Genomic DNA, 16,258 nt, shown 5'->3' with positions numbered 1-16,258 from the left:
GCACCCAAGTGATCCTCCTTCCTCAGCCTCCTGAGTACCTAAGACTACAGGCATGTACCACTACCTCCCACTAATTAATTTTTTTTTTTTGAAACGGGGTGTCACTATGTTGACCAAGTTGGTCTTCAACTCATGGCCTCAAGCAGTCCTTGCCTCGCCCCCAAAGTGTTGGGATTACAGGAGTGAGCCACTGTGCCTGGCCTGGTTTTTTCTGATGTACACAAAGTTGCTATGAGTACTAGCCATAGAGTGTGGTGAGGGGAGGGTGAATATGAAACACAAAGTGTAGATTCCACAAATGCTTGCAAAGCACCCTTCTGTAGAGTAGGCACTTAACCTTGGAGATACATGATAAATATGTGTGTGCTTAAGATTGCTTTGTCTAGTAAGGTGCCAGATAATTCTAATACTGTTCTAACACTGCAGTTAAGTAATGGTTCTCGAGGGAACACAGGTGGGCAGTGTTGGGACATCAAGGAAGGCTTCTTAGAAGAAATGACTTCTAAACAAAAGAAATTGGACGTGGTGCCTCTGAGATGAGATCTGAGTGGCTGAAAATGGAGCCCCGGGAGTCCAGAGAGGGAGAAAGCTGGAGAGGTGCCTAGATGGACGGTTAAGGGAAGTGATCCTCACCTCTTACAAAGACTTTTGAGTGTCCACTGCCCTTCAGCAGCTTCCAACTGAGAAGTCATTCATTTGAAAAACAGCAGCTATTAGATGCCTGGCAAAGAAGAGAAGGGGAAAAAAGTTGGAAGTCCTAAATGAGACAATAAGTACCAAGCTCTGTTCCTGGTTCTGGGGAAGTTCCAAAGGAGACTGCAAAGTTAGTAGAGAAATGGGCCCCTGGTATCCTCACCTCCCAGTCCTGCTTAATGCTGAATGTGAGGAGAGATGGAAGTCGGGGAGATCTGGGGAGGACTACAGAGAAGGGAGGCTCTGGTTGTATGCCCAAAGGGCTTGGCTGGTCTTGGGCAGAAATTGGAACCCATACTTCCTGGATGACAGCGGAGGGCATGGCCTGCCAGGGTAGGCTTTGAGAGAGTAAAAATTCCAATTCAAGTATCAGAGGAGGGTGGTTTGGTTCCAAGTTTAAGCTTGGAGGTAGAAGGATGTTTAGGCAGCCAAGGACTGTAAAGCTACAAGTATTTCCTAGGCAGGTGTCTGCCTGGTTTCCAGGATGGGACACACTTCAGTCGCAAAATGGACCAGCAGTGACCGGCTAGATCCCCCGCCCGGGTGGGAGGGGGTGGGACGGTCTTGGGAGAAGGGCGGAGGGCGGGGCCAGGGGCCACTTAAGGCGGAGTCCGGAGTCCGGGCGTTCTGGCAGCACCAGAGTCCTGCAGCAGAGACGGGCTGGGCTGGCACTCACCCACGACCCCCCTTCCCTGCTATGATGGTTTGTCAGTAGCAGGTCCTAGACACCCCCCGCCCGCTCCCGGGGCACGTGGGCAGAGCTAGCAGCAGCCAGGTGCACGGAGCCACAAGAGCTCTAGGGCACTCTGGGGGCAGCTGTGCCTGCTGCCCTCTCTGGTGCCTGTGGAGATGCCTAACTGACAGGAGAGTTAGTGAGGACAAGAACGCTCCCTTTTGGCCGAGGTCCGCTGTATCCATGGCTCTCCTGACCAATCTACTGCCCCTGTGCTGCTTGGCACTTCTGGCGCTGCCAGCCCAGAGCTGCGGGCCGGGCCGGGGGCCGGTTGGCCGGCGCCGCTATGCGCGCAAGCAGCTCGTGCCGCTACTCTACAAGCAATTTGTGCCCGGCGTGCCAGAGCGGACCCTGGGCGCCAGTGGGCCAGCGGAGGGGAGGGTGGCAAGGGGCTCCGAGCGCTTCCGGGACCTCGTGCCCAACTACAACCCCGACATCATCTTCAAGGATGAGGAGAACAGTGGAGCCGACCGCCTGATGACCGAGGTAAGGAGGGCCTCTCCCTACCTGCGCCGGGGCACTGCCAGCTCCTCCGTTTTCCTATGGCAGCCCAGGTGGGTGAGTCCAGCTTCACCTACAGAGAGTTTAGCCTTAGAGATTTCCCTTGTCACCAGCCCCAGGGGGGGGAAAAATCCTTGCAGTCTGGACAGAGTAATTAGGACGGCTCCCGACTAGAATAGTCTGGGATGGGGAGGGGAGGAGGGACTGACTAGTGAGAGTGAAGCTGGTAGAGGCAGCGAGGGCGGGGAAAGGAGGATGGCGGCAGGCGAGACGGGAAATGGCTGAGGCGTGGACCGGGGGTCAGCCACCCAGCCAGGCAGGAAGGGCTGGGGTGAGCTGGGGGCCAGGAGCTGGCTAGGTAGCAGACAGAAGCCTGGCTCCTGACCTGATTGTAGAAAAGCTCTGTGGGCCGAAAAGAAGAGACTGAAAAGGGCTGGGACAGGGGTGGCCAAGGGTCAGGTCACCAGACCATCTACCTGAGGAGGGGCTGGGCAGACATTGCTTTTGGCATGGGAAACGTGTCCTAGAACCAGGACACATCTATTCTAGGGTCTATTCTAGGGCTATCCTAGGGTCTAAACGATAATCTTGGGGTTAAAAAGTAATCCTCAGTGAGAATAACAGATGGACCCACCTGAGAATCAGAGGGCTCCTAAGTCTTCCAAGCTCTGCCTATCTCAGGGGCTTTCCTTGGAATTACATAATTAGGATAAATTCAACTACCATTTTTGAGCATTGGAACCACCTAGAGTGAGGTGGAAGAGAAGGACCACCTCTGGCGAGTGATTTATTTTTTATTTTTTGTAGAGACGGGGTCTTGCCATGTTGCCTAGGCTAGTCTTGAACTCCTGAGCTCAAGGGATCCTCCCACCTCGGCCTCCCAAAGTGCTGGATTACAGGTGTGAGCCACTTCATCCAGCCTGGCCAGTGATCTTGAATGTTAGAACTGAAAGAAAACTTGAGAGATGACATTCCTCCAACCCTCCCCACCCCCACTGCCACCCTCATTTTACATCTGAGAGCTGGACTTCCCCCAGGAGGAAAAGCAATTTAAACTCTCACAATTTAAAGTGGCATGGCTGGGACTAGAATTCAGGACTCCTGATTCTAAGCCCTATATACTTTCCATTACACCACCTAATTGTGTATGGAGTGGGGAGGTGGGGGGAGAGGGAGGGGTACGGATTTCCTCTGATTAATTGCCATAGTTTTCCAGGTTACTTTGTTAGGAAAACCTGTCCAGGGAAGAAATAATTCCTTTTGCTTCTGCCCTGAAGCCTTCCTCCTACCTAGAGATGGGAAAAGGGGCATTCCTTCTTTCCTCCTTGGCCGTGGAACATTGTGGCCCTTTCCTCTGGTTGCCACCTGCAGCAGAGTGGGCAGAACAAGGGACAGGCTCAGGAGGGGCTCCGGCAGGCCTGGGAGCCCCCTCAGTCTTACTTATCTCCCACACCCTGGCTGCAAAAGGCCTCCATTGAGTTGGCTCTGCACTGGGCTGCTGCCCCCGCAGGTCAGGGCCTCGGGGCCTCCTTAGGGGACGAAACGACAAAGTTGGAAGGAGCTACCACTTTTCCTGTTTTCCCCCCACCCAACCCCAACTCTGCGGGGTGGAGGAGACTAGAGGAGAGGGGAAAAGTGTCTTTCTGTTAGGAGAAAACCAAGTCCGAGGTGAGAGGTCGGAGGGGAAAGAAAAAAAGGAAGCTGTCCCTCTGCGCCTCCTCCCGCGGTGTCCCTGCTATGGTGCGCGCCAAGGTCTCCCGCTCCCAGGCTGGAGCGGCCAAGATAACTGTGGTCTCACTCCCCCAGGTGCAGGCTTCCAGCCGCAGCTTCTTTTCCTCTTCTCCGCTCTCACCCTGCAGGGGGCTCCCCAGATCCGCACAAGGAGACCGTTATTCTCAGGTGCTACTCCCACGCCCTTCTGGGCTGCATCTAGAGCAGAGATGGGAGAGATAGGGGCTCTCCGGACTGGCAGAGCCTTAGCTGGAACTGGGAAGACTGGACGCGCGGGGGGAGGGGACCTACCCGGACGGAGCAGGGATTGGGGGCGCGGCTTTCTGCCCTTTCCTCTCCCTGAGCCGGGGCGGCTGAAAAGCGCCTTTGTGGCCGGAGCTGCTGAGTCCGCTTCTCCCAGCGCGTTCCCGGCCTGGGCTCAGGATTCTCGCTCGGTTAAGTCATCCCGGATAATGGCCATTGTACTTCGCGCAACCCCCGCCACCCCAATCCTTTTTCCAGCAGCCTTGATCCCGCACAGCTCCTCTTGGGCACCTCTCTGGGGGGCACCCAGAGCACGAAGGGGTTAATGCTAAGGGCCCAAAGGAGGAGGAGGAAGGAAGGAAGGAAGCGATGCCCGGTGCCAGGGAAGGCAATGAAACAAAAGATGAATCAGGCGGAGGGAGGGGAGCCGGTGCCTGGGGCGGGGGCCAGGCTCAAACAGGGGCTCTCCGGGAGCAACCAGGCCCTCCCTGACCACGCTTCCATTCGCCCTCCTAACTCTGTCCTTCTCCCAGGTTGAGCCGCTGTCCCTGAACCAATAGGGGTGAGGGACGGGCATTAAAAATGGGGAAGGAGCTAGGTATGGGCACCCCCTCTCAACCTCAGAGGTGAGCCCACAGTTCTCCAACGACGTCCTGGGAACAGAGTGCAGATTGGTGACTACCATCGACTCAGATTCTCATTTCTCCAGGACACTCAAAAGCTGGGAGGGGTAAGAGTAGGGCCGGAATAACAAAGAATCAACCCTCCTATCCAGGTCCCTTTTGCCCCAAGGGTGGTGGTGGGGAGACTGACTCCTTTATTCCCCGCCAGCGTTGTAAGGAGCGGGTGAACGCTTTGGCCATTGCCGTGATGAACATGTGGCCCGGAGTGCGCCTACGAGTGACTGAGGGCTGGGACGAGGACGGCCACCACGCTCAGGATTCACTCCACTACGAAGGCCGTGCTTTGGACATCACTACGTCTGACCGCGACCGCAACAAGTATGGGTTGCTGGCGCGCCTCGCAGTGGAAGCCGGCTTCGACTGGGTCTACTACGAGTCCCGCAACCACGTCCACGTGTCGGTCAAAGCTGGTACAGTAGGAGGAGGGTGGTAAAATCCGCCCAAAGGGGGCTCCCTCCGGGAAACTGAGTCTGCAGTAGTACTGTTGCCACCCTAGGGGAGACCAAGCGGGCTTTAGTGTTGAAAACCACCCGTCCAGGCCGAGGCGGTGCCTCACGCCTCTAATCCCAGCACTTTGGGAGGCCAAGGAGGGCGGATCACTTGAGGTCAGGAGTTCGAGATCAGCCTAGCCAACATGGTGAAATCCCGTCTCTATTATAAATACGAAAATTAGTTGGGCGTGGTGGTGTATGCCTGTAATCCCGGCTACTCGTGAGGCTGAGGCACGAGAATCACTTGAACCCGGGAGGTAGAAGTTGCAGTGAGCCGAGATGGTGCCACTGCACTCCATCTACTGGGCGACAGAGCGAGATTCTATCTCAAAATACATACATACATACATACATACATACATACATACATACATACATAGAAAAGAGAAGAAAAAGGAAAAGAAAAGAAAGAAAAACCGCCCTTCCTTTTCTGCCCAGGTTGGGGCCAGTCAGATTAACGGAAAATTGTGTTGTCCATGACTGGCGATATCTGCGCTGGCCTTGAGAATCGTTCTGGAACCGCTGGTCTTGATTCAATCCTCCCTGTGGTTGTTCCCTGCAGATAACTCACTGGCGGTCCGGGCGGGCGGCTGCTTTCCGGGAAATGCAACTGTGCGCCTGTGGAGCGGCGAGCGGAAAGGGCTGCGGGAACTGCACCGCGGAGACTGGGTTTTGGCGGCCGATGCGTCAGGCCGGGTGGTGCCCACGCCGGTGCTGCTCTTCCTGGACCGGGACTTGCAGCGCCGGGCTTCATTTGTGGCTGTGGAGACCGAGTGGCCTCCACGCAAACTGTTGCTCACGCCCTGGCACCTGGTGTTTGCCGCTCGAGGGCCGGCGCCCGCGCCAGGCGACTTTGCACCGGTGTTCGCGCGCCGGCTACGCGCTGGGGACTCGGTGCTGGCGCCCGGCGGGGATGCGCTTCGGCCAGCGCGCGTGGCCCGTGTGGCGCGGGAGGAAGCCGTGGGCGTGTTCGCGCCGCTCACCGCGCACGGGACGCTGCTGGTGAACGATGTCCTGGCCTCTTGCTACGCGGTTCTGGAGAGTCACCAGTGGGCGCACCGCGCTTTTGCCCCCTTGAGACTGCTGCACGCGCTAGGGGCGCTGCTCCCCGGCGGGGCCGTCCAGCCGACTGGCATGCATTGGTACTCTCGGCTCCTCTACCGCTTAGCGGAGGAGCTACTGGGCTGAGCGTCCCAGGCATAGAAACCTCGAAGCGCCCGAGGAAACGAGGGCCTGCTGGCTGAGATATGGGGCTGTGGGCAGCAGACGATGCCGACTGGAAGGGAGGGAGAGGGAGGGGGAGGGAGAAAATGGGGCTATGCCTGGCTTAGGGGCAACCTCGTACTGAGAGGAGGTGATACCGGGTCCTAGGTAGGTAGGGCTGATGGTGCGCACTCCTTAAAGAGGACTATTTAGCCTCTCCCCCAGTGCTTCAGCCCCACCCGATAATTTTATTTTATTTCTTATTTATAAATTGTAATATAATGATTCCCTTGCCCAGCTTGCCAAGGTGAGGGGCTGGGGCATGGCATTAACACTGTCTGACACAGCCAGCCAGTCTGACATCTGACGTTTTCCTGCAAGGTGGGCTAATAAAGGGAAGGCTTTCAGGAGCTTACTGGAAAACACTTCCATTCAGAGGGTGATTCACCTCCAGAGAGGGGGATAAAGGTGGCCAACCTGAGTTAACAGCTTACTTCCGGCTCCCCCTCCTTCCTCAGCAGGGTCTTTGGGACCCTTTTCCTCCCTTCAGAAGGGGCATCCCAACCCATAAGCAACAGAGCCCACAAGAGTCGTACCCTTTTCCAGGCTGCTGTTTCCGTCTCCCATCCAGAGAGGACCAGCATTTCGCTCCTGCGGCTGAAGGGTCCAGGGTTGTCCCAGGTGGGAAAGACTGTGCACACCTCTTCTCTGTTTATAGGGGCTCCAGCAGGGGCTCAGGCCCCTATGAGTACTGATACTCAAAGCATCTAGTCCCCTATTGTTAGCCAGTAGTCCTGGTCCCCATCCTACCTTGGTGGCAGGGCCTGGATGGGGTGGATGTTTTTTCTGATATGCCACTGGGCCAACTGATGATCCATGGGAAACCTGGGTAATAATTTGCAATCGTCGCATAGTCATGGCCTGAAAAAGGAAGGGGGGCACAGTAAGAGGCTGGAATATTTCCTTACTGAAGGGCTGCTCAGAGAGAGAGAATGGATTCAGCCTGGGTGTATGTGGGGGAAGTAGATTCCCTAAACAAGGGCATATCAGCATTACAACCCGAGCTCCCCTCCTGATCGCTGGCCCTGATTGTTGTTTCTACTGGCTTGGTCTTCAGCGCCTCCTCCTCCCTCTCCCATTATCACCAGCTCTACTTCCCTAGCCTGGGTGTTTTTGGAACCTTTAGGTTCCAACGCAGTAGACACCTGGAATCCAGGCAGGCAGGTGCCCCTGAGTTAGGAATGGAAGCTCTGGAGGAAGCTGGGCTGCTCCAGAAGGGAAGTGTCTTGGGTGGAGGTGAGGCGGGGAGGAGGAAATAGTCGGGGGTTGTTGGTACCACCCGGAGCTCGCCCTTGCCAGTAGCCGCTGTGCGCTCCCATCGCACAGGGTCCCTGCTATACACCGCCCTCTGGTGGCCTTCAAGAGAATTCTAGGCCTATGCATATGGTTCTCTGAAACGGAAGGCAAGCGGTCTCAGACATGGAAGGGTGTACTGGACCTGCGCAAAGGAGCCCGCTCCCAGGAGGGAGAGATGATGGGTGGGCCTTGTTAAGCTGCCAGCGCTGAGTCACACATATCAGGAGCTGTCAAGGAGTCCACCTGCTTCTCCTTGGGCAAGTCGTTCCAAACCATGGCACTTTTACATCACTCCTGCCTAGTTTAGCTCTGTGGTTCCTGGAAGCTGCAGATGCCCTACTAGTATACCTGTAGTAGCCCAGACTTCCTTATGTATCAAAGTTGCCGCCTCATGTCCCTCACCCTCATGACCCTTGAGTTCAATTGTCAAGGAGGTGAAAGCATAATAGGGTTCCAGGTAGTGCTTGATAAAGGCAATATTTGGAAGCAGGTCAAGTTTACCTTTGGTGTCCTTCCACCCACTGCTGCCCTCAACCCACACTGAGGCTCTGTTGCCACCTTTGTTTTTCCGGGTCTCAGAAACACATCCCAAGCTGTGGACCTTTCCTACTTTCTAAACCTGCCCTTGTCTCTTTTTATCAGATCTGGTGCCTTCCTGTCATGTCACCACAGGTGATGACTAATCCGATAAATGAATTAGTTGTCCTATGTTGATGGGCTCCTTGGTTTTACTGCCCTTCCCAGGTAATCAGGTAATGCATATATATATACATGTATTTTTTAAAGAGACAGGATCTCGCTCTGTTGCCCACGCTGGAGTGCAGTGGTGTGACCTTGGTCCCCTGTAGCTTCAACCTCCTGGGCTCAAGCAATCCTCCCACCTCAGCCTCTCAAGTAGCTGGGACTACAGGTGCATGCCGCTATGCCTGGCTAATGTTTGTATTTTCTGTAGAGACAGAGTCTTGCTACGTTGCCCAGGCTGGTCTTGAACTCCTGGGCTCCCGCCTTTGCCCCACAAAGTGCTGGAATTACAGGTGTGAGCCCCTGTGCCCAGCAGTAATACATATATCTTACAGTTTTAACCTTTAACCATAAAATCATAATGGTGATGATTCCTAGCACTGTAATAAGTTAGCTAGGGAGATATTTCAGGACAAGGAGAACTCATTGGTTTCCCTTAAACTACATCCTGTAAGTAACTTTCTAGGCTTGAGGCTTACCTCTCAACCCTCACTTCCTCCCTTTATTATCTTTATTCCTTTGAGGCCCCTCCTAACTCTCAAAAAAAAAAAAAATCCATGACTTGCCTTCAAGCGGCAATGCGCACCATCTTGGTGCAGCAGGTGGGCATATTCACTTGGCCATGCAACACCTCCCAATTGCAGCACCTTTCACCATCAACAAAATAGGCGATGATGATTTGGCTTAGAAGCCAGCTAGATCTGGGGATAATGATACCTCCGTGACAGGATGGTTGAGAAGGATTGTGCTGGATGTGGAGTAGGCGCTCAGTAAATGTTTTCTATTCTTTGGCCACTTCTGACTGACTTTGCTGCCTTCCGATCACTTCTTTCCTCACCACTCCACTAAAAGCATCAGTCGTGCAAACTTTCTGGGGTTTTGTCACAGCACTTTCAGAAGCTGGAGGTATACTAGCAGCATTTCTGTAGTAGTCCAGACTTCCTTACATATAGAAGTTGACTCTTCATGTCCCTCACCTTTGTGACCCTTGAGCTCAGTAGTCAAGGAGGTGAAAGCATAATGGGGTTCCAGGTAGTGCCTGAAACTACTTTTCTGAAGAAGTATAATTAAAAGTAATCTTGTTTTGAGAATTTATGAAGCATTTTGTGATCACCCTGGCAATACCTCTCTGCATATTGAGAAATCAGAGTTGAGAACCACTGCCGAAAAGTTTCAAGTGACCTGTTTATCTGCCCAGAATCCAGTCTTTTATTCCTTCTTTCCTTTCTTCAAGCAGGATTTACTGAACATCTGCAGTGTAGCCCTGTATTCCCCACTGAAAAACACAAAAGGTTAAGAAACAGCTTCTTCCCTGGAGAAGTATACATAAACACAGAAAATATTTAACATTGTTACTTAATTTGGATGAGCTGAACCGGTGGTAAATGCCATATTAGTACAGAGAAGGCCTTGTGGAGAAAGGAGGGCCTGACTAGGATGTTGAAGCATGTGTAGGCGGAGGAGACTGGAAAGGGCATTCCAGGCAGAAGGAACATCATGAGCAAGGACTCGGAATCTGAGATGAAGCTGTGCAACTTATTTAGAGCAGAAGACTGGAAGTTTAACAATATGTAGCTAATGGTTACTGAGCATTTAAGATATGCCAGGCCCTGCTCTGATATTTTACCTGCATTTTCTTTTCTTTCTTTCTTTCTTTTTTTCTTTTTTTGAGACGGAGTTTCATTCTTGTTGCCCAGGCTGGAGTGCAGTGGCATGATCTCGGCTCACTGCAACCTCTGCCTTCCGGGTTCAAGTTATTTTCCTGCCTCAGCCTCCCGAGTAGCTGGGATTACAGGCGCTCGCCACCATGTCCGGCTAATTTTTTGTATTTTTAGTAGAGACGGGGTTTCGCTGTGTTGGCCAGGCTGGTCTCAAACTCCTGACCTCAGGTGATCCACCCGCCTCAGCCTCCCAAAGTACTGGGATTACAGGCGTGAGCCACCACACCCGGCCTTTACCTGCATTTTCATTTAATCCTCACAATCACCATCTAAGATGGTGTTGCAGGAGAGGAAATTGAGACAAAGAGAGGCTTAAATCACGTGGCTAAGTTACCACAGCCAGTAAGTGGCAAAATGAAACAGGAGTAACAAGAAATAAGACTTAGGCCAGGTGCATGCCTGTAATCCCAGCACTTTGGGAGGCCAAAGTGGGAGGATCACTTGAGGTCAGGGGTTCAAGACCAGCCTGGCCAACATGGTGAAACCCTGTCTCTACTAAAAATACAAAATTAGCCAGGCGTGGTGGCGGGAGCCTGTAATCCCAGCTACATGGGAGGCTGAGGCAGGAGAATCACTTGCACCTGGGAGGCAGAGGTTGCAGTGAGCTGAGATTGCGCCACTGTACTCCAGCCTGGGTAACGGAGTGAGACTCCATCTCAAAAAAAAAGAAAAAGAAAAAGGAAAAAATCAGGCTGGACAACATAATGAGACCCTGTCTTTGCAAAAAATAATTTAAAAAATTAGCCAGGTGTGGTGGTGCATGCCTGTAGTCCAAGCTATTTGGGGGGCTGAGATGGGAGGATCGCATGAGCCCAGGAGTTCAAGGTTGCAGTGAGCTATGATGACACCACTGCACTACAGCCTGGGTAACAGAGCAAGAGCTCAAAATAAATAAACAAATAAATAAATAATTTTTTTAAAAAAGAAATAAGACCACCTTGAAGAATGGGGCCCCACCTTGTTGGACCTTAAGCTGTTTTTCACTTTTTCTCATTTACTTCACTGAGTCACTATAAAGTCCTCCCAGCTTTCTGACAGTTATTTCTCTCTCATTTTCATTGGCTCCCTAACTAAAGCTCTCTAGCCATCCAGTTAAGGAAACACATATATTGATACAGGTTTCTGGCAGGAATCTATGGCAGGCTGGTAGACCAACACAGAAAGCATAAGAAGACCCTTAGCTCTTTTTGGACTAGAGAAGGAGAGGGAAGATTGAACTTTGTTATGGCTGAATGTTTGTGTCTCCTCCCCCCAGCTCAAATTCATATATTGAAGCCTTAACCCCTACTGTGTCTGTATTTGGAGAAGGGGACTCTAAGGAAGTAATTAAGGTTAAATGAGGTCATAAGGGTAGGGCCCTGATCCTACAGGGTTAGTGCCCTTATAAGAAGAGACACCAGAGTGCTCGAGTACTCGCTCTAGCACATGCATTGAGGAAAGGCTATGTGAGGACATAGAGAGAAGGTGGCTGTCTACAAGACAGGAAGAGAGCCCTCTCCAGAAGGCACATCAGCTAGAACCTTGATCTTGGACTTCTAGCCTCCAGAACTGTGAGAAAATAAATTTCTGTTATTTAAGCCACGCAGTCTGTGGTATTTTGTTATGTTAGCTCTAGCAAACTAGTTCAAGCTTCCAGAAATATTTGAGGTAGAAAGAGACCAGTGCTGAGACAGGGTCTCTCCTTAGTGAAAGTAATCAGCTGTCCTTGAAAAATGAGCATTTCTTTCTTTCTTTCTTTCTTTTTTTTTTTTTGAGATGGAGTTTCGTTCTTGTTACCCAGGCTGGAGTGTAATGGCACGATCTCAGCTCACTGCAACCTCCGCCTCCCAGGTTCAAGTGATTCTCCTACCTCAGCCTCCCAAGTAGCTGGGATTACAGGCATCTGCCACCAAGCCCAGCTAATTTTTGTACTTTTAGTAGAGATGGGGTTTCACCATGTTGGCCAGGCCGGTCTCTAACTCTTGACCTCACGTGATCCGCCCACCTCAGTCTCCCAAAGCGCTGGGATTACAGGCATGAGCCACTGCACCCGGCTGAAAAATGAGTATTTCTGACCTAGAAACTTCACATGGTTATTTAATTTAATTAATTATTAATTTATTTTTGAGATGGAGTCTCACTCTATCGCCCAGGCTGGAGTGCAGTGGCAAGGTCTAGGCTCACTGCAACCTCGGCCTTCTGGGTTCAAGTGATTCTCCTGCCTCAGCCTCTTAAGTAGATGGGATTACAGGCTCCCACCACCACATTCCGCTAATTTTTTTTAATATTTTTAGTACAGACTGCATTTCTTTCTTTTTTTTTTTTTTTTTGAGACGGAGTCTCGCCCTGTCCCCCAGGCTGGAGTGCAGTGGTGTGATCTCCGCTCACTGCAAGCTCCACCTCCCAGGTTCACGCCATTCTCCTGCCTCAGCCTCCCTAGTAGCTGGGACTACAGGGGCCCGCCACCACACCCGGCTAATTGTATTTTTAGTAGAAACGTGGTTTCACCGTGTTAGCCAGGATGGTCTGGATCTCCTGACCTCGTGATCCGCCCGACTCGGCCTCCCAAAGTGCTGGGATTACAGGCGTGAACCACCGCGTCTGGCCAGTACAGACTGCATTTCACCATGTTGGCCAGGCTGGTCTTGAACTCCTGACCTCAAGTAATCCGCCCACCTCAGCCTCCCAAAGTGCTGGAATTACAGGTGTGAGCCACCTCGCTGGGCCTTTAAAAAAAAAAAAAAAAAAAAGAAAAACAGAAAAAATTATTTATTTATTTATTTATGTATTTTGAGACAGGGTCTCATTCCCATCACCCAGGTGGGAGTGCTGTGGCATGATCACGGCTCATTGCAGCCTCAACCTCTCAGGCTTAAGAGATCCTCCTGCCTTATTTTTTGATTTTTTGGTAGAGATGAGGTCTCACTATGTTGTCCAGGCTGGTCTGGAATTCCTGGGCTCAAGCAATCCCCCTGCTTAAGACTCCCAAAGTGCTGGGATTACAGGTGTGAGCCACTGCACCCAGCTATTTATTTGTTGAGAAAGAGTCTCACTATGTTGCCCAGGCTAGAGTTCAGGGGCACAGTCATGGATCACTGCAGCCTTGACCTCCCGGGCTCAAATGATCCTCCCACCTCAGCCTTCTGAGTAGCTAGGACTATAGGTGCATGCCACCACACCTGGCTAATTTTTGTATTTTTCGTAGAGACAGGGTCTCACTATGTTGTTTATGGTTGGTCTCAAACTCCTGGCCTCAAGTGATTCTCCCACTTTGGCCCCCCAAAGTGCTGGGATTACAGGCATGAGCCACTGCACCTGGCCTACACGTTTATTTTATTTTATTCTATTTTTTTTTAAAAAAAGCATAGGCATGGTGGCTCATGCCTGTAACCCCAGCACTTTGGGAGGTCAAGGCGGGCGGATCACCTGAAGCCGGGAGTTCCAGACCAGCCTGACCAACATGGAGAAACCCTGTCTCTACTAAAGATACAAAATTAGCCAGGCATGGTGGTGCATGCCTGTAATCCTGGCTACTCAGGAAGCTGAGGCAGGAGAATCACTTGAACCCGGGAGGCGGAGGTTGCGGTGAGCCGAGATGGTGCCATTGCACTCCAACCTGGGCAACAAGAGCGAAACTCCATCTCAAAAAAAAAAAAAAAAAAAAAAGGGATGGGGTCTTCTTATGTTGCCCAGGCTGGTCTCAAGCTCTTGAGCTCAAGTGATCCTCCCACCTTGGCCTCCCAAAGTGTTGGGGTTACAGGCGTGAGCCACCAGGCCTTGCCTACATGTTTATTTTTGACTGTGCTTTTGTGGTCTGTGTAATATTGGAGGGAGCTTTCCTCTTTGGTTGGAAGACTGAGGCAGCTATCACGGGAAAGAAGGTGGTCAGGGTCTATTTCCCTGCAAGGAATTTTGTGGCCAATTAGCACATTGTCATTGTTGTTGTCTCTTTATGTGACTTGGTGGATGTATACAAATAAGCATCTCCCTGAGAGGAGGTTATTTTCAGTTCATTAAGATTTCATGAGTGCCTACTATGTGTCTATTATTGTGCTGTGTGATGGAGATAGGACAATAGAGGCAGGCAGGGACACAATCCCTTCTCCCCATGGCTCTTATAGTTCATCTGGCAAGACAAGCATAAATGGTTAGAGGTTGTTGAATGTGGTAACAAGTGACATTTAGACTGAGACCTGAAAGATGAGTGTGAGTTGTGCAAGAGGGAACAGCATGTGCAAAAGGCTGGATTTGGGGAGCAAGAGTAAGATGAATCTGAGGAGCATCAAAGGAGCATCAGCAAGTTCAGTGTAGCTAGAGGGCGAGGTGATCTGGGTCTTGTATTTCCCAGGCTGGAGTGCAGTGGTGCCACCATAGCTCACTGAAGCCTGGAATGCCTGAGCTCAAGCCACCCTCCTGCCTCAGCCTGCTGAATAACTTGTAGCTAGGACTACAGGCATGAACTAACTTTGTTTTTCTTTTTGTAGAGATGGGGTCTCACTATGTTGCCTAAGCTGGTCTTGAATTATTGGACTGAAGCAATCCTCCCACCTTGGCCTCCCAAAGCACTGGGATTATAGGTGTGATGTAGTGCACCCAGCCTGCTTTAAGGATTTTGAATATTGTCCTAAAGATGAAAAGCAATTGTAATATTTGAAGCAAGGGAATAATCCTGCTGAGAGGAATAATCAAACTTGCATTTTAAAAGGGAAACTGAGGCCGGGCATGGTGGCTTATGCCTGTAATCCCAGCACTTTGGGAGGCCGAGGTGGGCGGATCACCTGAGGTAGGAAGTTCAAGACCAGCCTGACCAACATGGAGAAACCCCCTCTCTACTAAAAGTACAAAATTCGCTGGGTGCGGTGGCACATGCCTGTAATCCCAGGTATTCGGGAGGCTGAGGCAGGAGAATTGCTTGAACCCAGAGGCGAAGTTTGCGGTGAGCTGAGATCGTGCCATTGCACTCCAGCCTGAGCAACAAGAGCGAAACTCTGTCTCAAAACAAACAAACAAAACAACAACAACAACAACAACGAAAGACAAAAAAACATGGTTGGGTGCGGTGGCTCACTCCTGTAATCCCAACACTTTGGGAAGCTGAGGCAGACGTGTCACGGAGGTCGGGAGTTTGAGACCAGCCTGACCAACATGGTGAAACTCTGTCTCTACTGAAAAAATACAAAAATTAGCTAGGCGTGGTGGCAAGCGCCTATAATCCCAGCTATTCGGGGAAACTGGCAATTGGATAAGCCTTATTTATTTATTTATTTATCTACTTATTTATTATTATTTTTTTCGATGGAGTCTTTTTGCCCTTGTTGCCCAGGCTGGAGTGCAATGGCGTGATCTCAGCTCACTGCAACCTCTGCCTCCTGGGTTCAAGCAATTCTCCTGCCTCAGCCTCCCAAGTAGCTGGGATTACAGGCATGTGCCATCACGCCCGGCTAATTTTGTATTTTTAGTAGAGACGGAGTTTCACCATGTTGGTCAGGCTGGTCTCAAACTCCTGACCTCAGGTGATCCACCTGCCTCAGCATCCCAAAGTGTTGGGATTACAGGTGTGAGCTACCACACTTGGTCGGATAGGACTTTTTAGATAGCCCTTATCCCTGTGTAGATTGGTCCTCGGTTGAGCATTTGAATGTCCTTGCTCTAGTTTCAATCACAAGAAGGAAATGCTCCCACTCCCACACGGAGTGTGTTATGGGAGCAGATGGTGGGAGCAGTGTAGAGAAATTGGAGCAGGATAGGATAGAATAGGAACTGAACAGAATTGAAGGTGATACCACCAGCCCTGGCTTTGCTTCTCTCAGAAACCTAAACGGTGTCTTAACATCTCTCCTTGGGACTGCAAAACCTAAGAACACAGTTGTCTGATTTCAAACCATATGATGTCCAAACAGAAGTCCTTTGAACTGGGTACTTCTTCTCTGCTATTCTCTTTTGCTTTCCAGCCATCCGTTCAGCAGTGCCTTGGCTTAGCTTGGAGCTGAAGGCCACAAGCTGAGATAGAGCTGTCACCCTAAGAACCAGGCCTGGGGTGAACATTGCAGCTGCCCAGGGAACAGCTGGTTAAGCCCCCAGCAGCTGCAGCAGCTGGGATTCTACCCAACATTTGATCTGGGATTAATCCCATTTCCTCCACACACATCCCATCCTTGTTCTAGTCCCTGGCTAGTCTATAGT

General features: G+C 51.2%; 1 protein-coding gene and 1 long non-coding RNA gene across 6 annotated transcripts, besides 5 other annotated features; one reads left to right on the top strand and one right to left on the bottom strand.

Moving 5' to 3' along the window:
* DHH-AS1 (DHH antisense RNA 1) lies at positions 378 to 4,042 on the bottom strand. Of its 3 annotated transcripts, XR_007063295.1 has the most exons (4): positions 3,780 to 4,028; positions 3,217 to 3,292; positions 1,934 to 2,000; positions 378 to 721 (listed from the first exon to the last, which is right to left on the bottom strand). It is a non-coding gene; the product is annotated as a DHH antisense RNA 1 (long non-coding RNA). The 3 variants fall into 3 exon arrangements; XR_007063294.1 differs by lacking the exons at positions 378 to 721; positions 1,934 to 2,000 and having other exon boundaries at positions 3,206 to 3,292; positions 3,780 to 3,856; positions 3,950 to 4,042; XR_007063296.1 differs by lacking the exons at positions 378 to 721; positions 1,934 to 2,000; positions 3,780 to 4,028 and adding an exon at positions 2,704 to 2,873 and having other exon boundaries at positions 3,217 to 3,303.
* Positions 1,321 to 9,466, top strand: DHH (desert hedgehog signaling molecule). Of its 3 annotated transcripts, none has more exons than NM_021044.4 (3): positions 1,321 to 1,912; positions 4,733 to 4,994; positions 5,638 to 9,466. In NM_021044.4, the coding sequence occupies exons 1-3, from the start codon at positions 1,610 to 1,612 to the stop codon at positions 6,261 to 6,263; spliced, it is 1,191 nt and encodes a 396-aa protein (NP_066382.1). In that variant the 5' UTR covers positions 1,321 to 1,609; the 3' UTR covers positions 6,264 to 9,466. The 3 variants fall into 3 exon arrangements, with proteins under 3 accessions (NP_066382.1, XP_016874869.1, XP_016874870.1); XM_017019380.2 differs by lacking the exon at positions 1,321 to 1,912 and adding an exon at positions 3,206 to 3,826; XM_017019381.2 differs by lacking the exon at positions 1,321 to 1,912 and adding an exon at positions 4,028 to 4,631.
* Positions 3,304 to 3,448: an enhancer, noted in NCBI's record as "145 bp enhancer 293 fragment used in the MPRA reporter construct; PK_construct_4093". NCBI's record gives its function as "activates an SV40 promoter by MPRA in K562 cells {active_cell/tissue: K562}" and the evidence as "EXISTENCE:reporter gene assay evidence [ECO:0000049][PMID:23512712]".
* Positions 3,367 to 3,384: a transcriptional cis regulatory region, noted in NCBI's record as "GATA motif; enhancer activity is reduced when this motif is scrambled". NCBI's record gives its function as "necessary for full MPRA enhancer 293 activity {active_cell/tissue: K562}" and the evidence as "EXISTENCE:site-directed mutagenesis evidence [ECO:0005528][PMID:23512712]".
* Positions 4,307 to 4,489: a silencer, noted in NCBI's record as "fragment chr12:49485416-49485598 (GRCh37/hg19 assembly coordinates)". NCBI's record gives its function as "represses an EF-1alpha promoter that drives an FKBP-Casp9 reporter gene in an ReSE screen in K562 erythroleukemia cells {active_cell/tissue: K562}" and the evidence as "EXISTENCE:reporter gene assay evidence [ECO:0000049][PMID:32094911]".
* Positions 7,821 to 7,870: an enhancer, noted in NCBI's record as "active region_6307". NCBI's record gives its function as "activates an Ori minimal core promoter by ATAC-STARR-seq in GM12878 lymphoblastoid cells {active_cell/tissue: GM12878}" and the evidence as "EXISTENCE:reporter gene assay evidence [ECO:0000049][PMID:35858748]".
* Positions 7,911 to 7,980: an enhancer, noted in NCBI's record as "active region_6306". NCBI's record gives its function as "activates an Ori minimal core promoter by ATAC-STARR-seq in GM12878 lymphoblastoid cells {active_cell/tissue: GM12878}" and the evidence as "EXISTENCE:reporter gene assay evidence [ECO:0000049][PMID:35858748]".

This window comes from Homo sapiens, chromosome 12, assembly GCF_000001405.40.
Source record: "Homo sapiens chromosome 12, GRCh38.p14 Primary Assembly".
NCBI lineage: Eukaryota > Metazoa > Chordata > Mammalia > Primates > Hominidae > Homo > Homo sapiens.
The sequence above is the reverse complement of the archived record's forward strand: the minus strand, read 5'-3'. Positions and strand labels throughout refer to the sequence as shown.

Bases quoted from the DNA above. Each gene is read 5' to 3' on its own strand.
- DHH (NM_021044.4), top strand. From the start codon at position 1,610: ATGGCTCTCCTGACCAATCTACTGCCCCTGTGCTGCTTGGCACTTCTG. The intron at 1,913-4,732 runs GTAAGGAGGGCC...ATTCCCCGCCAG, and splicing joins CCGACCGCCTGATGACCGAG to CGTTGTAAGGAGCGGGTGAA. The intron at 4,995-5,637 runs GTACAGTAGGAG...TGTTCCCTGCAG, and splicing joins CCACGTGTCGGTCAAAGCTG to ATAACTCACTGGCGGTCCGG.